This window comes from Homo sapiens, chromosome 14 (genome assembly GCF_000001405.40).
Source record: "Homo sapiens chromosome 14, GRCh38.p14 Primary Assembly".
Classification (NCBI taxonomy): Eukaryota; Metazoa; Chordata; class Mammalia; order Primates; family Hominidae; genus Homo; species Homo sapiens.
In genome coordinates this window covers 98,093,304-98,117,096 of record NC_000014.9, presented here as the reverse complement: position 1 = coordinate 98,117,096, position 23,793 = coordinate 98,093,304, and the positions used below count along the sequence as shown (strand labels likewise).

The 23,793-nt window shown below is 39.1% G+C and overlaps 2 long non-coding RNA genes across 4 annotated transcripts in view; one reads left to right on the top strand and one right to left on the bottom strand.

Annotated features, from left to right (window-relative positions):
* LOC105370655 (uncharacterized) overlaps window positions 1-23,793 on the top strand; it is a 102,277-nt gene that overhangs the window by 49,068 nt on the left and 29,416 nt on the right. The window lies entirely within an intron of this gene.
* LOC105370653 (uncharacterized) lies at window positions 429-23,793 on the bottom strand. 3 transcript variants are annotated; one of them, XR_944188.3, is made up of 5 exons: window positions 23,610-23,793; window positions 21,811-21,892; window positions 21,001-21,072; window positions 6,700-6,841; window positions 429-573 (listed from the first exon to the last, which is right to left on the bottom strand). It is a non-coding gene; the product is annotated as an uncharacterized LOC105370653 (long non-coding RNA). The 3 variants fall into 3 exon arrangements; XR_944189.3 differs by having other exon boundaries at window positions 21,811-21,889; XR_944190.3 differs by lacking the exon at window positions 6,700-6,841.

Here is a 23,793-nt window from a genome sequence, read left to right as displayed (position 1 = left end):
TCATGTCTTCCACTGGGGTAATACACCCAGTCCTTGAACAAGGCATGGGACAGCATCTATACAGTCTAGGAAATGCACAAAGATGTCATATTTCAACTTCTCTCAGTTCAATCCAACTTCTTCTTTTCTATCTGCAGATCTGCTTTACTATATACAGTATCTACGAGGTGAAAGACACTGAAATCATAGCTCTGAATTTTTAAAGACTCCCCCATAGACTTTGTGTTTGCTGGGAGCTAACCTACTATGAAATATAGCTTATAAAATTTCAATTCCAAATTCATTTGGCCCATCTTATATCACCTGTTTACATCTAGCCCAACCCACTGTGCCATTGTGTGGATTCTCAGGGCCCCTTTCTGTGAGTAAGAAAAGAAGCTAAGACGATGTTGTGAGTTTAACAGACACCGCGCATGTCTACTACAGTGGGCAATTAAGAATGATTTTATTTTTATTCTGAATAACATAGATGAGAAAAAATAGAATTTCGCCTCCTTCTTCTTATTCCCATAATTCCAGGGACATAGAGAAATCACTCTGGTTTCAGTTGCAGGTCATGATAGAGTTGACAATCTAAGATGGAGGGAAATAAATTACGTCAGTGAGCCCACTGTAAGCATCATCTGGAAGCCGCTGGAAGCCTCTGGAAGCTTAAATACCAATGCCAGTACAGGGGAAGTTTCCTTTACATAAAGCACAGAATGGCAGAATGTGAGAGCATTACACTTGGCTGCATTTTTAATGATCTCTCTCCAGTGGGATAGATGGCGAGAGCTCTTTTGACTGAGGTGTGTGGGCAGTTCTGTGTGCGTGGCCTGGTGAGACCCAGGCGAAGTTATGGGAGCTGCTGGCGCTGCATATCATGAGTCTCCTGCAGACCTCTCAGCAGGTTCCCAAATGAAAATGCCCTCTTCCTGGGCTGAGGCAATTAATTGAGGACTTATTTTTACCTGTAAGAGAAACTTCAATCTCATATATATGTGAAATACACTGCTGCAAACACACTCAATTTCAAATAAATATTTTATTCCTGCATCTTTTAGAGTATAGCTGTTATTAGAGAAAGTAAAAGAATAAAGTCCAAATTTGAGCTCTATCTCTTTTTTTTAATATAGGATCTGGCTGTGTTGCCCAGGCTGGAGTACAGCCGCACAGTCATAGCTCACCGCAGCCTCAATCTCCTGAGTTTAAGTGATCCTCCTGCCTCAGCCTCCCAAGTAGCTGGGACTATAATAGGACCATAGGCACACATCACTCCACACCTGGCCAAGTTGATTTTTTTTTTTTTTTTTTTTTTTGTAGAGGCAAAGTTTTTCTATGTTGCCCAGGCTGGTCTCCAATTCCTGAGCTCAAGTGATCCTCCTGCCTCTACCTCCGAAAGTGCTGGGATTACAGGCTGAGACACCAAACCCAGCCTGAGTTCCTTGTTAAAGGAACACATTTTACAGGTCTCTCTTGATGAAAATGAAGATGAATAAATAAATAAACAAATAGGCAGATGGATTAAAAAAAGCTGTTATTGGCTTTGGGACAATGAATGAATCGTAACATTTTAAAGTGTACAGCTTTCAATTGCCTTTAATTAGACAATAGTTTTCCAGACATTTCCTACGAGGAAGCCATTGCACATATATGTATATATGTTTGTTTGTTTCTAATTTACTAATTATTAGTACATTATGTAGGCGATAAAATTCCCATTTTTCAGATTTAAAGATATTGAGGCAAGAGAGTTCAGGTCATTAGTCTGATATAATATAGCTTGTTAAAAGCAATCTAAGGCATGAACCCAGTTTATCAGACTCTTAGAAAGGGCAATTGAAGAAAGTGAGTTGGTTCAAAGAGAACTGCTCCCTAAACTAAGGATAAAATTGGCCGTGATCTCAAAAAAAAAATAAATAAATAAATCAGCATTTTTTTTCAGCAAAACATATTTCTCTAGATTCTTCTCAAAGATTCTAATTATATGAGTCATGTTATGATAGAAACCTAAACCCAACTTTAGTTTATGACCAGGAGAAGTAAAAGAAACTAAAAGTAGCCTCAAAAATAAAATGCATAAAAATAATTTAAAAATACTTGAGGAATCATTTTAAACAATGGGACATTTTCAAGAAGAACAGGGATCCCTGAGAGATGAAAAACAAATTGAGCATAGTCTCAAGTTATCCAAGCTGATTGCTTAGAGGGCTTTGTAGTCTCCCTGAGTTGAGGGGATATTGCTAGGAGGCTAAGGTTACTAGAGCTCACAGGATAGGGTATCAGAGAACAGAGAGAGGTGCTGGGAGAAATTTTGAGAATTTCTGGGTTCCCTTCAACTCTTTAACTAAGTGCTGACCAGCACATGTATGTGTGGAATGTGCCCAACGCTGGGAAAGAACCACAAAAAAGAAAAAAAAAAAAAAAGTCAAAGGAAGTAATCCCCAGAGCTCCCACAGGCCTGGGAAGAGTTCCTGTTCCCACCAGCCAGAATCAAAAACCTAATAACTCATGGGAGAGCAGGTAGAACGCTCAGATGTGCTTTATCTTAGCAGTAGGATGAAGTCTAAATGTTGCTCTGGTCTTGTCTAATAAATACTAAAAGTAAGATCCAAAAGAATCAAACTATTTCCAAGTAACATAACTATATCCCAGAATAACACTTAATAATATTTATGAGAATATAAAATATCCAACATTCAACAAAGTAAAATTCACTGTCTTCAACATCTAATAAAAAATCACCAGGCATTCAAAGGAGAAAGAAAATATGACTCATAATGAGGAGAAAAATAAATCAACTGAAACTGACTCAGAAATGACATAACTGATAGAATTAGTAGACAAGGCTATTAAAACAATTCTTAAAACTTTTCCCTGAATTTCATGTGTTTAATGACCTCAAGAAATGAGTATGTTGAGACATGGGACATATAAAAAGAAAAACCCAAATCAAACTTCTAGAGATAAAAATTATAATGTCTGAGACGAAAAGTGCATTGCTAAAGATTAACAACAAATTAGGCATTGCAGAAGAAAAGATTAATGTACTCGAAGATATAATAATAGGAACTATTGAAAATGAAATACAGAGAGAAAGCAGGTTAAGGAAAAAATTGAACAGAGGGTCAGCAACATGTGGAACAGCTTCAAATGGCCTAAAATACATGTAATTGGAGTCTTTGAAGGAGGGCAAAGCAGAAAAATACCTGAAGAACTAAAGACTGTAATTTTTAAAATTTAATGAAAACCATATTCTAAAGATCCAAGAATCCCAGTGAACTTCAAGCAGAAGAAATAAAAGACAGGAATTAGAAGGTACTGTGAACTGAATGAAAATTAGAACACAGCATTAAAAAAAATGGGTGGGATGGAGCTAACAGTTCTTTGAGGGGAGTTTTTGGCACAAAAATGCCTGTATTAAAAAAGAAGAAAGGCTTAAAATCAGTGATGTCAGCTTCCATATTAAGAAACTCGAAAAATATAAAGTTCCACACAATTTATACATAACCACACACCATAAATAAATAATATTGTGATCCAAACAGCGTACACAGCCTCTCTTTCTCCACCCATAGGCAGACACAGACATAGATTTGAAAGCCACAGAGCCAAGTCCTGACACTAGCACCACCTGATCTCTGGCAAATAGCTGAGGTTCTCTGGTTTTCATTTCCTCCTCCATAGAATGGGAGAATAGGGCTAGATCTTGAAGACTGGACAGAAGTTCCCCAAAATAATAGAAGGGTAGGAGTGACATTTCAGACAAAGGGAAATATAGACAAAGATCTGAAGGCATCCAGGAACATGGTGCCTCAGGCAAGGGGTGTGTGTACAGTTTAATATGTCTGTTCCTTAGCAGGTGAAGGGAGGTTGCAGGTATGGATGATGCTAGGCTTAACCGTAGGTGACCTCACCTGGCATCTTGAAGGCAATGGATCCAGGAATGACCTCAACAGAGGCCTGTGGTGTCTAGAGACCATAGCTCTTGTCTTTGGATAATCCAAATCATATGCTTCAGTTAATCATCAAATTTACATTTACAAGGTGAATGAGTGGTTAGAGAATTTTGATACACAACAATACAACAAGAAAAATGTCAGTTGATCCGTCTGTCTGTATTAGAAATTTGCCCAGGCCGATTCATTATGTAGGTGTATTGATTCGATGAATTATTTATCTTAGCTCATACAGTTTGTCTGTCTGTAGAGTCCCTAAATAAGACAAAGCTCTCAAATGTGGATTCTTTCTTGGAAAGACTCTTAAAATGTTTTCAGAACATTTTTTTTCCTTTTTATTTTAGATGAATTCACTGGATTTCAAAGCAAAGATTCTTGCTATTAAAGTATGGAAAGAAACATACATGTGCATCTTGTGGGACATACCCAAGGTCTAAATGCAGATGTACTCAGAGCATGTGCTTAGTGGGCTGTCACCTGAGCCAAGATTTAGTTGCCAGCTTCTGGGAATGTCAAATACTCATCAGCTTTTATTCTTTTCTGCAGAAAGTGACACATGCCTATCTTGATCACTGGAGCACAAAATTAGCTGAGTGCTTCAGGGAAAGAGCAACAAGGGAAGAAATGAACAAGGGGTCAGAGACCCTGACCCCCGTGGGGAACAGTAGAAACGACTAGGACTCATCTGTCATGGAGATCACGCTGTCCGTGGTGCCAAATCACTCCATGAAGGTCTCAGAAGTTTCCCCTGTCCTAGACACCAATATGGTGCATGGCAGAACTGAAACTTAACCTTGACAAGGCAGAGCTCTTTATTTCAAAAGATCAGGAACTGGACTGTGACTCATGTCTTGTCCACATTCGTGACCAATGTTTTCTTTTTTTTTTTTTTTTTTCATTCTTGAATTATTTAAATTGAATTCATCTTTTAGGAAACTTGGGTTCTTCTTCATCAGTTTTTTTTTTTTTTCCAAGAAGAGGGAGTGCGTGGCACCCTTTTTTGAGTGTTTAAATAGATGATGATGTCTTTTGATTGCCTCCCTAGATGGAGTAAAGCCTTGCCAGTTTTACAGTTAAAGATCAGAACTGTTTTTCTTGAAAGTATTTATATAACAATCAAAACATTCAGTGTTGGAAAGCTAAAGTCCCAGTTAGCATGATCTGCATTTATTTTTAGGCAAATTATTTATTAACCAGGTATACACCGTCTTTGTTTACATCCTTTTGATGCTTTTGTCAGGACATCTTTAGACCTAAATTTATTTTTATTGGCTTTCCATAATCATAGACTAAACTTTAATTTCTATACTCAGGTCTTTCATAAACATCGGAACCTTTTGTTCCGTTGTAAAATAAGTATAGCTAAGTGTTTGAAAGCATAAACTGCAGTAGAACAACTTCAGGTTTTGTTCATTAACTTAACATTCCACAAATAGTTATTGGTTTCCTATGTGGTTCAGGAAAATATCCTGCACAGTGGTTACTGGGACAGGTTTTAGCTCTCACAGAGCCTAGAGTTCAATAGAGATCAAGACAGCAAACTAAGAAACAGCAGCTTGTTCAGTGACAAGTTGGGAGTTTCTTCTCTTCCCTTTTCTGCTTGGCCATTTATGGCAAGTTGGTGCCCTTTTTTGGGCATAGGGCTCCGAGTTATATATGAACATAATCTACCTCAAAGAATGGGTGGCTGAACCTTACATATAAAGAATGGAAACATGGTAGCTAAAATATGGGTGTTCCTTTGATTATTTCTGCCTGATAATATTTGCACTCAATGAGACCTGTCACTTAAAGCAGAGGTCCCCAATCCCTGGGCCACAGATTGGAACCAGTCCATGGCCTGTTGGGAACTGGGCCGCACAGCAGGAGGTGAGTGGCAGGTAAGTGAGCATTACTGCCTGAGCTCCACCTCCTGTCAGGTCAGGAGCATTAGATTCTCATAGGAGCACAAACCCTCTTGTGAACTGCACATGCAAGGGTTCAAAGGATCTAGGTTGCATGCTTGCTCCTTATGAAAATCTAATTAATGCCTGATGATCTGAGGTGGAAGACTTTCATCCTGAAACCATCCCCCACCACCCCACCTGCTGTCTGTGGAAAAATTGTCATCCATGAAACTGGTCATTGGTGTCAAAAAGGTCGGGGACTACTGACTTAGACTGTCAGCTCCAAGAGCTCATGAATTTTTGTCTGTGTTGTTCGCTTATATAGCTAAGATACAAAAACAGTCCTTGCTATATGATAGGTTATCAATAAATACTCACTGAATGGACCATAGACTAAAATTCATCTTTGTATCCTAAGACTGTGATCTGCCATATCATTTTTCATTACCTTTACATTCTGATGAGGAATGTAAAATTCCTAGTCCTCAACAGTGGCTTACTTTCTACAGGGCTGATTGTGCCTCTTCTGCCTTCCATAGTCCTTTTCTGGCTCCAGTGTGAGTTTGATCTTTGTCATCCTGCTTTGCGTTGCTTCCAGGTGGTTTGTTGTCTGTCCCATTTCTATTGCCATCTCATCCCATTGCTTGTCTTAGTTGTGGGGTTATTTTGATTTCAGGGAGGTAATCTCTTCTTTTCTTTCTTTTTCTATGCAGAAAACCTGTCACTTTTCATGTCACTCTAGTTTGTTTTTTTTATTTGGAAGCCAATCTTTTCTCTATTCTGAGAACAGTCTTTCCTTTTTCTTGATACTTTTACTCCTACTTAAAAAGCGAGAGTGGCCATGTTGGCTAACACCTGGTGACACATGAGCTTACCTCCAGCACTGCTTGCTCTCTATTATGAGGGTAGAACCTTTCCTTGGCCTGCAGTGGCCTCCGACCAGTGGCTGAGCTCTTAACCTCTTTTTGTCCCCTTGCAGTTTATGAAATCAATCTTTTGGCTGTGTCTGCTTTCATCCTTAAAGCAAGCAAATAAATAAATAGTGGAGTCAATGGACATTGACTTAGAGTGGAGTAAAAGAATAGGAAGAGGCTTAGAGACTTCTTATGCTCTGAATTTCTTCATTTTACAATTGAGAAAACCGAGGCCCCAAAAGAATATGGTCTTGGTCAGTCTCAGAGCTAATGCACAAAGCTTTAGAAACAGGAACCTGTGCTCCCAGTTCCCCTGCTCTCTCCATTACAGCGAAGAGTGAGTATCATTTCTTACAAGGATCCTGTCACATGGAAAGTGTTTCTCAAAGGACTACCCTGTCTCTAAAATGAGGGGAAAGCTTTGGCTTTGTGACTTCTTCTTTCTTCTATCTGCAATACCTTCCTGTATTCTCACACTCTTGAATCATGTATAAATAGATACATAAATAATTTTTAAAGATCATGGTCTTCGTCTTACAGAGAATGAGTATTTTCGACTTAATTAAGCATAGGGGTGAGGTGAGTGGTAGGTTTGGGTTGGAGGACATATTCTGGGAGAATGGGATGATGATGTTATCTTCTCTGAATCTTTTCCGGGGCCATTTGCCGGTGGTCCTTGATAAGGGCTCATTTTGGGCTAGGACCCAGCAGCTGGCTGGCCTTGCCCTTTACTGCCATAAAGACATCATCAATTTCCTGGAAATTAGCTACAGAAATCCAAGAGTGATCACTCAGGGCTCAGTCCAGTCCAGTTCAAGGATGTAAAGAACAATTCTCTTTTATAAATCAATTAAGATTTATTGCAAGGGACTTGAAAAGGGAGTGAGATTTATTCTCCAGAGGGACTTCCAGAGCCCAGTGATAGCCTAGTTTGTGTCAACAGGCTTTAGTCAAAGTCCTAATGACGTTTACATATGAAGAGTTTCATTATTTGGGCTTAAGAGCTACTTATTATTACCAGTCTGTGGCAAAAAAAATAAAATAAAATAACTCTAAATTAAGGAGCTGATATGAAAATAGATGAAGTTTGCACTGTATTGAGCAAGCATACTTTTATTATTAATTTTATGCATTATTTACAGTGATAGTTACAAATATTGATCTTAGCAAAGCAGGAAGTGTTGTTACACTAACAACGAGATTTGACTAAGAAAAAAAGGCAATAATTATCAATTAGCAGAAATTACTGCTAATAAGAGTGGGGGAAGTGCAGAAAATTCTGATTAGGAAGAACTGACACTTTCATAGTGTTGTGTAAATTGCCAGGATTTTAAAAATACATCTGCCTTGTATGATGTTTACAAAGAAAAAAAAAGTGTCAGGCATATAATTACTAGATACATCCAAGATACAAATCTTTTTGTTGTTCTTTTAATCATTTGGAAGAAGAGGAGTCATTGCTTAGAAGATTTTTGCCCTTTTCTGCGGATAACAAGTAAAATTAGCTAACAGCTCAATTATTCTGTTAATGAGGCAACCCCCTCCCCACTTGCATAAATTTAATTTATTTTTCTTTCCAGTGTCCTTTCTGCTACCATCAATCAACTCCCCTTCCAGAGGAAAAAAATTATACACTAAAAGTGGGGTATGGACTGGGGGCTGATATCAAAATTGAGGTTGATCATACATTATACTGTGAAAGAGGAAATGAACATAAAGGAAGGGGAGAAAACTGAGTCTCAACAAGTCGCCAGGCCAGCCTGCAAAAGCAAGCTTGAAATTTCCTGTTGGGTAAAGTCTATTCGATTCAGATGACATTTACACTAAAATAGAAGCCCAAAATTCACCACTATGCAATATATCCATCTAATAAAACTGCACTTTGTACCACCTAAATCGATGAAAAGAAAAAGAAAAAGTTCCCTGTACTGAGGCTCACGCTATTATCCAACCCCGAAGGTATGGGGTGAAGCACATTCTTTGTAGACTGTTGTTTTCCATAGATGTTTGGTCGTTGGTTTGTCTTTCCATTTTATCAATCAGAGCTTTTAAGCTTCACCAGGTGAGGAATACAAGTGGGATGAATCCAGGCAAAAGCAAAGAAAATCTCTGTAGTTAGTGAGGGCAGCCTCATTCCAGACAAACAGACATTTTCCTCTCAGATTTTTGAAACATTGGCAGTTAAGAGCTTGCTGTCCTGAGAAGCTGTAGAAGTTCAGGGTCCACAGGTCAGGAGCTGAGACAATTAATCTCCATTTTGGCTCCAAAGTGGGATGGTTTAAGTCCATTTATTAAACCTAAGTTAGAGGCCAAATAAAATTGGTCTACAGCTCACCCAACTCCTATAGCCTTGATCCCAGTTGTTCTTTGCAGTTTCCTAAGTATAACCCCTACATAAAATAACACCAAGTGCATGCTTCCTCGGGATTCAATTGCTTTTCCACATTCTGCATTACTTATCATTGTTAATGGCACCACCATCACCTGGTATCTTACCCAATATATTCTGAGCATCTTTGTTGACAAGTTCCTGCCCTGTCGGATAACCCAATGGTCTGGATTCTACCCTCTCAGCATTTCATGACTTCAGCTCCTGTTCCCCAAATTCAACTACGGCCATTGTGGATCAGCTCACAGGTCTTCACATGCTGCCCAGATCCCTGCAAGATCCCCTTTCCAGGCCTTCCGATCACTTCAATCCATCCTGGGCACTGCTACCAGAGTGATCTATTTCTTACACCACATTTTGTTAGTTGGTTTTTCTTTCAAATCACATGAGTAAATAATAGACACATTCTCATTGTAAAATGTCTAAAAATAAATAATATAAAGCCAATTATATAAACTCCCTTTTTGCCAAAAAAAATATAGCACCCTCACACAAGCTTGCCCACTCCCGCAAGACTCCCAGGCCATCTTCTACTTTGTATGCAGACAAATTTTTACTTGTTTGTTTACATGAATGGGAGCATTCATCTATTTCTGGGGCTTATTCTTTTTATCTATCAATGACATAATTCTACAGCTGTTCATATAACTGCCATAACTTATGCTCAAGAGCTCTTTGCTAATTTAGAGTTCAAAGATTTGGGATATATATATATATATATATATATATATATATATATATATACACACACACACACACACACACACACATAATCTATTGAAGGACATGGGGATTAGTTTTGGAGCCATTGTTGCTATTACAGGTTATGACGCAGTAAAAACAAACTGCTGCGTGCATATCATTGGGACAAACAGTGTGGACTTTTAAAACATTTTGAGGGCCAGGAGCAGTGGCTCATGCCTGTAATCCCAGCACTTTGGGAGGCTGAGGCAGGCAGGTCACTTGAGCTCATGAGTTTGAGACAAGCCTGGGCAACATGGTGAAACCCCATTTCTACTAACAATACAAAAATGAGCTGGGCATGATGGTGCACGCCTGTAGTCCCAGCTACTCGGGAGGCTGAGACAGGAGAATTGCTTGAACCTGGGAGGCAGAGGTTGCAGTGAGCTGAGATCATACCACTGCACTCCAGCCTGGGCGACAGAGTGAGATTCTGTGTCAAAAGTAAATAAATAAATTAATTAATAAATAAAGGAAAGGAAAGGAAAAAAGAAAAAAAAACAATTGAAAAGTAATTGCCAAATTGCTCACTAAAAAGACTGTATCAGTTTATGAAACACTCTGAGTAGCTGTCTGTGAAAGAGCAGACGTTCTTCCAGCTTCTCAGCTTAGAACCATCATCAATTTTTTAAAGAAAAACATTATGATGGTTGAACAATGCCACCTTATTGCTTTTATTTGCATTTCTCTGACTACTAGTGGCTATTTGCAGTGAATTAATATTTCATCTTTCTATGAATTGACTAATTTTCCTATTGAGCTGCTTTTAAAATTGTTAATAATTTTTGTGCAAAAGTGGCAAATATGGTCTCTCAATCTGTTGTCTTCTAACTTTTTGCATTGTATCTTCTGACATAAAATATGTATAATTTTATATATTAAAATACACCAGTTGGCCACAGGGGCTCACACCTGTAATCCCAGTACTTTGGGAGGCCAAGGCGGGAGGATCACCTGAGGTCAAGAGTTTGAGACTAGCCTGGCCAACATGGCAAAACCCCATCTCTATGAAAAATACAAAAATTAGCTGGGCATGGTCATGGTTGCCTGTAATCCTAGCTATTCAGGAGGTTGAGGCAGGAGAATTGCTTGAACCTGGAGGTAGAGGTTGCAGTGAGCTGAGATTGTGTCACTGCACTCCAGCCTGGGTGACAGAGCAAGACTCCATCTAATCTCAAGAACAAACAAACAAACAAAAAACAAAATAAACAAACAAATATGCCAACATTTTCTCTCTGGTTTCTAGTTCTTGTGAATAGACTTCATAAATTCAAGTTCTTATGTTAGGAAGACTTGATGAATTCCAAAATTTTATCTATCTATCTCTCTATCTATCTATCTATCTATCTATCTATCTATCTATCTACCTTACCTATCCACTCATCTGTCCAATCATTCATTCAATATGTATATATCTGTGTTTCTATCTATCATCTATACATCCATTATCTATCTATGTATGTATCTATCTATCATCTATCCATCCATTATCTATCATCTATCCATCCATTCACTCATTATCTCACCCATCCATCCATCTGTCCATCCATTCATCAATTATCGCTGTATCTGTGTATTTATCTATCCATCCATCCATTATCTATCCATTATTTATATTTAGCTATCATATATATGATGTACATATTCACATCTATATATACATATACTTTTCCATCTCCAGTAATTTTTATATCTGTGATTAAAAATTTAAAAATATAAATTTAATATCTCCCTTATAAGTTTAAAATACTTTATTGTTCTTTTCTTCTCTCTTCTTCCTCTTCAGAATAAAGTTGAAACTCCAGTGTCCTTTTACCCTCCAGGGGCCTCTCCTACCTCATTCCCTCTAACCCTGCCACCAGACCCCTAGGAGAAAAGGCTTCAGCTCAAACCTCAGTGGACCAGGCTCTCTTGCACCTCTGGACCTTCTCATATGCTGCCTGCTGCCCTTGAAGGGTGGTGGGCTGCTGTTCTTCTCAGTGTCCCTCCCAGTAACTGGTCAGGGAGAATGCCCAGGCCCTGTCTTGCTGGGTGAGAGGAGGGAGGGCAGGCGAAAGAGAGAGAGTGGAGGAAGGAGAGCCCAAGCCAAGTGTTGAATCTTCAGCATAAAATCTGTCTAAAGTCCTTCTTAGTTATAGTGGGGAAAGGCAGGAACTGGTTGTAAGGCAGGAATGATGGCAGCAGGGTGAGGTTTTCTAAACTGACTGCTCACACTTTTGGAGTTATTTATTCCTTGAGAGAGTGGTTTCTAGTACTCCCTAATTTTGTGTTGGCACATCTACCCAGAGCCAACTTCCTAAACAAGCCAAGGGCCATGCACAGAAACTGGAAAAGATGAGAGGGACTTCTCCATGGTTGGAGATATGCACTTCATGTCACTCCCATCCCTGCATAAAATCCTCCTGCGATCTCCATAGTCTTCCATATAAATTGAACACTTTATTCCAGGTTCTAAGGTCCTCCCTCCTGACCCTCAGCACACCATCTCTCCCCCTCTCCCAACACCCAAGCCTGCATGGGTCCCCTGGGAAGTTCTCTGCATGGATCATTCTGTTTCACTTCCTCAGGCAGATGATCAGTCTGTTCCCTCTGCCAGGGGTGACTATGAAGCCACTCTTAGGTGGACACACTTGTCTTGACCATTCACATGTCCACTAGGTATTAACTCTGCTGGAGTGCTTTCACATCCTCCCTAAATCCAGCCTCCATCTCCTCATCTCTACCTCTAAATTGAACCCTCACTCTACCCATGAAGGGATGGGTTGTATGGTAGAGTGTGTGGAGACAGGGATGAATAAATGGACAGGTGAGTAGTTGAGTGTATGGAGGGATGGATGAATGAATGAACAGGTGGATGGATGAGTGTGTGGAGGAATGGATGGATGAATGGATAAGTGAGTGGGTGAATGGTTGGGTGATGGATGGATAAGTGGATGATGGATGACTCGGTGGCTAGATAATGGATAGATAGTGGGGTGCATGCATCTGTTTGAGGTATGTGAGTATATGATGATCATGATTATGATGATAACAAAATGACTCATTGGATGCAGAGAGATCCGTAATAAAAATGTCATGTGAGAGGCCTGAACTAATGTAGTGGCAGAAGATAGGCAGATGCAAACATAAAGTACAGGATGATTTTTAGGAGTCATTGATGTCATCAATGAAGGAGAGGAAGCTGTTGACAAAAACAAGTGATGCAGCCCAATGAGTATCAGAAGCCTATGTCTGCTAGTGCTGCGTAAAAGCTAAACATATTTCTTTAGCACCTGCTGCATGTTTCACACAGTGGGGCACTAGGGGGCTGTGAATGTAGTTGCGTGGCACATGGTTGGCTTCAGGATGATGACACTGTAGCTATTAGTCTAAAGAGAATTGAGGATGCAACTGCTCTAGAAGGAAGTGGGTTTATTATGTAACTCATTAAGTCAGTGATTCTCAGCCTTCTCTGTACATCAGAATCACCTGGGGGGATTAAAAAGCTACACATGTGGAATTTACAACTTCTATTCAACTGGTCTGAAGTGGTCTCAGGTATTGCCCAGATGTGAATTCAAGGTGTGAACTACTTCATGAGCACACTAATTAATAAAATTCAGCCTCCAAAATTTCTACTCATTTTTCCAAATGGGTATTGCCTATTTGGCAACACTTTCTTTGCTTACAGAGCCAGTCTGCCACCCTCTTCCCAACTTCTGTAGCACTTTGCTCACATCCTTATTAAACCAAGTACTGCACCATTTGCCTAGCTGTGCCAGAGGTCTGTCCCTTTCCCTCACTGAGGGCATAGCCAGAGATCAGCTGGCTGCAGAGGACAGAAACCTGAGGACATTTGGAACTTAACTGCAAAAAAGATCATGGGGCGTTCTAGGCAGTGAGAAGGCTTGTTTTCCTTGGAGATATGTGGCATCTCTTCCCTTTAAGCACCTGCCTCATCCTTTTTGCAAGTTGTCACTGGGCACATCGTGAATAAGACTGCTCCACAGTGAACAAGAAAACAGGGGCTTCATCTCCTAATTCACTGTGGGGCTGATACATGGCCAGATATCCATTCCTGATCCAATCAGCTGAGGCCAGGGAGACAAAACCTGTGTTGCTTAAATTCACTTTTCCCTAGAAGGCAGAAGAGAGCAGGTCTCCAAAGGAGGGCTTATGGCTGGGAGAAAGTGACCAATGCCTTGTCCCATCCACCTCCTTGTCAACCCAGTTTCTAGCCCAGGATGCATAATGGGTGCTCAGGAAAGACTTTTTTTTTTTTAATCAAAAACTGGAACAACTGAATCCTGAGAGCCTGGCTAGTGATAAGGAATAATTTTCTCCCAAGTTCCAGAGGCCACTTGGTACTGTCTTAGAAATGGATTGAGATTTTACAAATCTAAGTCATCCTAATTGGGTGAGTGAGGAAGACTTGAAGAAATTTTCCCCTTTCCTAAATGTCATATATACCTCCCAGAAGAGCAATACCCCATTGAAGAAGTCCAGTCATCTATGCTGCCTGACAATTCCTAAATGTGTACTATAATGGGTTGAATAGTGGCCCCCAAAAAGAACTTGTGAATTTGACCTTGTTTTGAAATGGGGTCCTTGTAGAAGTAATCAAGAATTTTGAGATGAGAACATCCTGTATTTAGGGTGGGCCCTAAAGTCAATAATAGGTATCCTTATAAGACAAAGGCAGAGGGAGATTTGAGACACACCAAAGCAGAGAGATGGCCACGTGAAGCCAGAAGCAGAGTATAGTGATGCTTTCTGAAGTCAAGAAATGTTTGGAGATGCAGGAATCTGGAAGAGGCAAGGAAGGATTATTTCCTAGAGATTTTGGAGGGAATATGACCTTATTGAAGTCTTGATTTTGGACTTCTGGTCTCCAAAACTATTAGAGAATGAATTTCTGTTGTTTTAAGCCACCCAGTTTGTGATAATTTGTTACAACCGTCCTATAAAACTAATATGAGTACTCAGAAGAGAGAAACCTCATCTTCTAGGAAGATAAGAAGCGTATTTTCCATCTTATTTGAGTTCCTTTTTTTAATTTTTAATTTTTGTGGGTGCATAGTAGATATATATATTTATGGGTTACATGAGATATTTGCAATGTTTGAAAATCACATCATGGGAAATAGGATATTCATCACCTCAAGCATTTATCTTTTGTGTTACAAACACATCCTGTTATATTCTTAGTTATTTTAAAATGAATAATTATCTTTTACTATAGTCACCCTGTTGTGCTAACAAATACTAGGTCTTGTTTATTCTTTCTATTTTTTTTTTACTCATTAACCATTCCTCCTTACCCCAACCACTACCCTTCCCAGCCTTTGGTAATCTTCCTTTTACCCTCTATCTCCATGAGTTCAATTGTTTTAATGTTTAGTCCCTATGGATAAATAAGAATATGTGATATTTATCTTTCTGTGCATGGCTTATTAACTTAACATAGAGACATCCATCTTCATCCATGTTCTTGCAGATGACAGAATTTTATTCTTTTTATGGCTGAATAGTACTCCATTGTGTATATGTACCACATGCACAGTTGTGTACGGCTGGGAGGGCCTTAGGAAACTTACAACCATGGCAGAGGGGGAAGCAAACACATTCTTCTTCACAAGGCAGCAGAGAGAGAGAGCTATGAGAGGAGAGTGGAAGGGGAAGCCCCTTATTAAACCATCAGACATCATGATAGCTTACTCACTATCATGGGAATAACATGAAGGAAACCACCCCCATGATTCGGTTACCTGCTACTGGGTCCCTCCCACCACATGTGGGGTTATGGAAACTACAATTTAAGATGAGATTTGGGTGGGGACACGGCCAAACCTTATCAACATTTTTCACCTCTTCAGTTAATTCCTAGGTATTTTATTTTACTTGTAGCTACTGTAAATAGAATTACTTCCTTTATTTTGTTTCCAGGTTGTTGGCTGTTGGCATATAAAAAAGTTACTGCTTTTTTATGTTAATTTTGTATACTGCAACTTCACAGGATTTATCATTTTTTTTTTTTTTTTTGGTGGAGCATTTAGGATTTTCCAAATATAAAATCATATTATATGCAAACAAGGAAAATTTGACTTCTTTTTCCATTTTGATGCCCTTTATTTCTTTCTCTTTTCTGATTGCTCTAGCTGGGACTTCCATTACTATGTTGAATAACAGTGGTGAAAGTGGGCATCTTTGTCATGTTCTAGATCTTAGAGAAAAGGCTTTCAATTTCCCCCCATTCAGTGTGATACTAACTGTGGGTCTGTTATATATGCCTTTTATTATGTTGAGGTATGTTTCTTCTATACCTAGTTTTTTGAGGGTATTTATCATGAAGGATACTAATTATACCAAATACTATTTCAGCAGGAATTGAATGATTACATAGTTCTATTCTTTGTTTTGTTGATATGGTGTAACGCATTGATTGATTTGCATACGTTAAGCCATACTTGCAAGTTTGTTTCTTTTCTCTTGCTGTTTTTATGATCCTTTTTTATCATTGACCTTTAGAAATTTGATTATTAAATGTCTTGAGGTAATCTTCTTTGGGTTAAAGCTGCTTGGTGTTTTGTAACCTTCTTGCACTTGAATATTGATATCTTTCTCTAGGTTTGGGAAGTTATCTGTTATTATCCTTTTGAATAAACTTTCTACTGCTATCTCTTTCTCTATCACCTCTTTAAGGCCCAGAACTTTAAGATTTGCCTTTTTGAGGCTATTTTCTAGATCCTGTAGGCATACTTCACTTTTTTATTATTTTCTCTTTTGTCTTCTCTGATTGTATATTTTCAAATAATCTGTCTTCAAGTTCACCAATTCTTTCTTCTGCTTGATCAATTCTGCTGTTAAAAGACTGACACTTTTTCCATATGTCAAATGCATTTTTTCAACTCCAGAATTTCTGCTTGGAGAAATTCTTGATTCTTGCTTGATTCTTTTAAATTATTTCAACCTCTTTGTTGAATTTAACTGGTAAAATTTCCAATTCCTTCTCTGAATTATGTTGAATTTCTTTGAGTTTCCTCAACACAGCTATTTTGAATGCTCTGTCTGAAAATTAACATATCTCTGTTTTTCCAGGATTGGTCCCTAGTGACTTATTTGGTTCATTTGGTGATATTATGTTTTCATGGATGGTTTTGATACTTGTGGGTGTTTGTCTGTATCTGGGCATTGAAAAGTTGGCTATTTATTGTAGTCTTTGCAGTCTGGGCTTGTTTGTACCCATCCTTCTTGGGAAGGCTTTCCACGTATTTAAAAGGACTTAGGCATTGTGATCTAAGCTGTATCTGCATTACTGATTATTGAGATCTGGCATCTCAAACCTAGTAACATGGTGGTTCTTGCAGACTCATTGAAGTACCACTTTGATGGTCTTGGATTGAGTTTCAATTTACTAATAAGGGCTTGTCCTGGACAAAGCCAGAGCAAGTAGTGATTTTCCTTGAATGTGTGACTCAGACCAAGTTACTTTAGGAGAACAAAGAAAAACGGAATAACTTACTGCTGTGTTTTGACGTTTGACAAGCAAGAAGATATATCAGATGTCTTTCATATACTGACTACTTTATGTTTCAAAACCACCCACTAAACAGAGATGTACAGGAAGGAGAGATAGAGGCATCTGAGTCACTATGACTTAAAACTCCTCTTCTCAACACTACAAGACCTTAGGGTTTTGTTTTTAAGACTTAGAGATCCATTAATCAAGTTCCTAAATGCAGGCAGTTTTTACACATAATTCTGCCTGCTCTATGCCTTTCTAGATGATCAAAATCCAGTCTATTTTAGTAGAAAATAAATGCAAACATAAGAGGACTCTTATTCTTCATGGGCAATCAGTTTGTCTTCATTAGAGTATTCTGCTCACCGCTTCCAGTAATGCATGTATATATATTTATTTTTATCTTTCTTTACTGTTACGAGGAAGCAGTATAAACACTCTCACCCCCATTTCCTGCCTCATCTTCAATCAAAAGAGAAATGACCATGTCCTCAAGTCTCTGCATTCCAGCCCTGAGTACCTCACCTCGCTTCCTCTAATTTTTTGCTTATGTGGAAACCTCTTCTTCCTTCTCATCGACATTGACTTTAGGAAAAATGAAATAAACCACTTTTCACACTTATCATCATTATTGTCATTATTTACCTTAAAAATACTTGCTCAGGTCATTATACCAACTTGGGGTAGGATCTCTAGGAAAGGACTATCTCATTCACAACTTGGTGCAGCAAACAAAGTGATACTAGCACAACTGAATTATATTGTACATGGTGCCCTCCAACATGCATCATTTGAATTATTTCTCCTCAATTCCCAACCCCTCTCCCTCTGCTGCCCCAGTAGTTATTATTGTTGGAGGGATGATGAGGTGCAGGCCATGAGAAAAAAGTTTGTCCTAGCTAACTGTGGCGAAAAATTGTCTTACTATTAAGGAGGAGTGGTTTCAATCACCCGTGAACATGAAGGCTTGGTAGTCATTAGACCTTTTCTTTAAACATTCCTATCTTTCCTTTGTGGGCATATGAAGTCTCATAGTTTTCAATGAGTTTGAGCAGATGTTTTGGGTACACTTCCAGGTAACAGGCTTCAGAGATTTTTCTCACCCTGGGGTGATGCCTGGCAATGTTCCAAATAATGGTGATTCAGTCTATCTGGATGGGTAGAACCACTACTATATGAAACAGTCTCTAGTGATATAGGATGGACACGTAGCAGGCACTGTAAACACATACTTGTTGCTTGAATTCATGGAGCTGTGGGGGCTATTTGTTATTGCAGCATAACTTAGCTTTTCCAGGATCCTGGACAAAGCATTGCAAAAAGAGGGAAGAGAGAAACTACCTGTATTCTAGATTAGGCTCCACCTGGTTGAGACTATTAAACCATGGGAAAACCAATGTATATAAACCTAGCATCTTTATCACTAAGATGTATATAGCAAGCTCTAATCCCCTACCTATTACTTCAGGTAAAGTAATAGACATTAAAAAAGCTTTTACAAATATGCGAATTTTAAATGGCATTATGGTTAGACTGCTCTTGGACCTTGGTAGTCTCATAATTTTGTAAATATTCTTTTACTGTATATATTGGATTATCATCTCTCTCTTATTTTCTTTCTAATTATAGAATATTTCTGATGAAATAAAAATATAAGTAATAACTCAGAAACACACGCTACATCAAAGTACTAATTGAAAGATTGCTTTTCGCTTTTCTTAAAGATTGACAGTTATCAAAAGTCTTTATTATCGCCTTCCCTATCTCACAGAATAGAAACATTGAAATAATATTTTTAACTTTTTAATTCTTATCAAAATAGTCTATGTATGTAGTTTAATGAGTCAAATAGTGTGTAATCTCCCACCCTAATCCTGTTCTCTTCCAAATCCTGCTTCTCAGAGCCTATCACTTGTATCTCATTTATTTGTTTATTTCTTCATATTTTTAAATGATATGCTCATGTTACTATTTTTTGACTTTTCCTTTTTAATCATTATTTATCTCTCCTTTCTATGGAAAAGGCCACACTAAAGTGTTGGGGATTTGTCTGTGAGTGACCGGAGCCCCTGGCAGTAATTTAACTTATGCGTTCAATAATACATTCCACAGGGGGACTTCTCTGGACCCAGATAGGGTTACAAACATAGCATGCCCAGATCAAGTACTCTGTCTCCAACAGGTAAGGTCCCAGCCCTGCCATATTTGTGGGAAGGCATCAGAGAGGGGAGATACCATAGATAAAAAGTTCTGTCATCAAATAGCCACATGGCATGGATGTGAGAAGAAAGAAATGGGAAAGCTGTCTTTGGTGGATGCATAACTTCTCTACCCCTACTCTGTATAGTTCCTCTCTCCACCCTCTTTGTAAACCAATTGGAACTGGCCTCTGAGTCTGTAAGAGATATTGCTACCGTGACAGTTACAGTTGATATAGTTATGCTATATGTCCAAGATTGGTCCAATCCCAAATCTCTTGATAAAGAGTCTATTATTTGTATTACTTTGTGTTTTTATACCCCTAATTGGCTTTATCTTGATGACAAAGAGGTAGAAGATCTACTGTCTGTGTTTGAGGCTTGTTAAGGGACCAAAGATGCTGCCAGTAGATGGAATCTGTTTTGTTGGAATCCCAATTTCATTTACAGCCCTCTTAGGCCCTTCAGGAGTAAAGCAATTGTGTCCATGGGCTGGGGAATACTCTAGTCTATCGTACCTTTGGAAATGGAAGGAAATGAGAAGTAACAAGAAAGTAAGGGAGAAAGTCAGAGAACAGAGACTGCTCTACAGTTGAACTTTCATGTTCCATATCATATTTATAACACACCTGTGAAGTAGATGTACCTAGTAAATAACCCACATGGTGCAGGTGGGAAAATGGTCCAAGACACTTTCCAGGAGGCATCTTGGAATAGTGCAAGGTGCATATCATTTGATCCAGCAATCCCACTACTGGGTATCTACCCAGAGAAAAAGAAGTCATTATTCTAAAAAGATACTTGCACACACATGTTTATAGCAGCACAATTCACAATAGCAAAATTTTGGAACCAACCCAAATGCCCATCAATCAATGAGTGGATAAAGAAACTCTGACATATACATGTGTGCATATATATATATTCACGCATATGATTGAATACTATTCAGCCATAAAAACAGAATGAATTAACAGCATTTTTGCGATGACCTGGGTGAGATTAGAGACTATTATTCTAAGTTAAGTAACTTAGGAATTGAAAGCCAAACATTGTATGTTCTCACTGATATATGGGAGCTAAGCTATGAGGATGCAAAAGGGTGAGAATGATAACAATGGACTTTGGGGACTTGGGGGGAATAGTGGGAAAGGGGCAAGGGATAAAAGACAACAAATATGGTGCAGTGTATACTGCTCAGGTGATGGGTGCATCAGGTTCTCACAAATCTCCACTAAAGAACTTACTCATGTAACAAAATACCACCTATACCCCAATAACGTATGGAAAAATAAAGTTCTTTCTTTAAAAGTTTACATCAGAGAGGAAAAGCATTAGAAGAACGCTTAAGTAATGAGTGGCCTGGGTCACACTTCAGGGCCACCCAGAGTTATTTCCCAGATATTCATTGCATGGGACAAATCAATGCTCACCAGCCTTAGTCACTTTTTCACTTTTCTTCTAAGGACTGTTGCTGTTGCTTTTTTGGAAATAAAACGAAGACACTAGCCAAAAAAAAAAAAAAGAAAAAAAAAGAAGAAGTTAAACCAGCTCTCTCTAGATCCCAATTCTTCCAGCCACTAAGGACAATAAATGTTAAACAAGCTTAGCACTATATGAGCTTTAAGCATTATTGTGGCTAAGCAGATCTTATACCTTAGTTATTTGGGATCTGGGGCAAACTCCTAACCTTCCCTGAGCCTCAGTTTCTTTCAAGTATGAAATAGAAGCAATAATAGCTGCCTCAAGGTTTTGGGTAAGCATCGAAAGCAATGCTATTAAATATGCATTGTTTATATGTGTCTGCATTGTTGAAGTACTTTGTGCATATTAACTCATGTATGACAAGCTCATGATGTAGGTTCTGCAATAACCACCATCTCGGTCTTAAAGAGGGAGAGTAGCTTCCCTGCAAGGTTGAGTGATGTGCCCAAGCTCACTGTCTCTTTGGTGGAGAAACTGAGATTTAGCTCTAGACAGTGTGATGCAAGAGTCTAATCTCATAACCACTATGAGGTACTAAAGCATGTAACTGAGCTGCATAGGTCATAGATTCTCGGTCAATGTTGGTGTCTTGGAGCAACATTGACTCAGCAGTTCAATAATGTCAACTAAACCCAGCAGTTCAATAATGTCAGCTAAAGCCCTGGAATTTCCCCTAACCCATTAACTACCCATGTTTCCTCCTAGCACAGTCTAGATTGCTGCAGGAATATTTTTGCCAGGACCCTGAAATCCCTTACCCTTTGCCTTTCATATCTTGGTAAACTCAAATTCCAAATGAACTCTCTGACTCATTCATCTTCATTCAAGGAGCAAGTGCTGCTGAAAGAGATAACCGAGCAAGGCAGAATGCATTAATGTTCAGCCTCAAAGACAGGATCACCACCACCGGAAGCCCTCCTGGCTTTTCTTGTTCCATCAAGGTCCCTCCCATTTTCAAAACAGATATTTTAAACCCTTAGCACTTCTCTCAAATCTCTGCAATCACTCCCACGACACATAGGAGATGACAAAACTTTTTATTTCTTAGAGAAATTTGAAACAATAGGATGAGAATTCCCTCAACTTCTTGTGAATATCACACCTTCAACTAACCTACATCCTCTTCTTCTGTCCCGGTAACTTCAAGCAGGCAGTCCCCTCTCTCATTTGAGGTTATCCCTCACCCCTTATTCTAAGACAGACTTCCCTGCTTGATCAAGAATCTTAAAATCTCAATTATTCCTTGTCTGTCTCCAGCACATTTAATGAGATCTTTCACAATGATTTTAGATAACTTACGCATGATCTTCCCATTTTTAGAGATAAAAAAATCATTGTTCTCAACTCCTCATTAATGAGCACCTTATCTTGAGCATCCCTTTTTGCAGACAGCTCCTAGAAAAAGTCTCTTTTTTTTCCCTACAGTTCCCAACATTTGTTTTTTCTCCTACTTATCTGCCTTCTGCTCACATCTGCCGTCTTGATGAGTTCTTGCTTGGGCCATTCTCTTAGTGATCTTCATGATCTTTCATGCTCATTCTGTTAATGATCTTCATTCTCTTCATGATCTTTCCCAAGCTTCCAGAACACAGGAACACTCCTCCATCTCTAAGATTTTTCTTCTCAGCCTATCCTCCATTACTGCCTTTTGAATGCTGGAGTTTCTTCATCTTGAACTCCACAGTTTTATTTTGAACTTCTTCCCTAGGCCAATTCATTCAAATCTGTGGCTTTTGTGGTCATTTCTAGGCTGATGACTCTCAACTGATGGACCGAGTTGAGCTTCTTCCTCTGAGTTGTAGACCCTTACATGTAAATACCTACTCATTATCTCTACTTTGAATGCCGAGGGTTAATTTAAAATGTCGAAAGCCAAATTCTTTGTCTTCATCACTCCTCTGTCTGAATAAATGATATCACCATCAAAAAGCAGTATAACTCTCCTCTTAGGAGCCAAGGAGACCTCTCCCAGAGACACATCCTCTTCATCAAGCCATGGTCAACACAAGGAAACTTTACCTTCTAAGGATCTCTCTACTCTTTTCACTTATACCAAGGTCCACTTCCACCCTCTTAGTTCAAGATGCCACTGTCTCTCACCTAGACAAGTCAATGACATCTGAAGCTAGATTCCAAACCTAGCCCAGGCCCTTTTCAATCCAGCATTGTCCACACTGAAGCCCATATGATCTTTCAAAACACAAATCTGGTTTTGTTTTTCCTAGGTCAAAACCTCTCACTAGCTTCCCATTTCCCTAGGGATAGTGACCGAAGTCCTCATTATGGTTCTCAAAACCAGCAAGTTCCAAAGCAGATATCTCTCCAACCTCATTTCACAGTGTGCCTGGTCGTTATAGTTTGCACTCTGCCTACATGACTTGTTCCACTTGTCTGTTAGCATGAAACAAAGAACCCCACACTTAGAAGGGCCACACAGCAACAATCTTATTTGATCAGAAATCCTGTGGGTAAAAAATTTAGACAAAAAGCCCGGTGGGAATGGTTGTCCTTGCCTCTACTCTGCTCTGGATGTCTGAGACCAGGTATTGGGTCTTACATGAGCTTGGACTGGAGGGTCCACCTACAAGATGGCATCTTTCTTCACAAGCCTGGAGTCTGAGCTGAAATGGCTAAATACAGGCTCAGCTGGGACTGTTGACCAGGGCTGGGACCTCAAAGGGAGCAAGTAGCAGTCTTTCAGAAGCGAGTGTTCAATGAGAACCTGCCAGAAACTGTCTAGC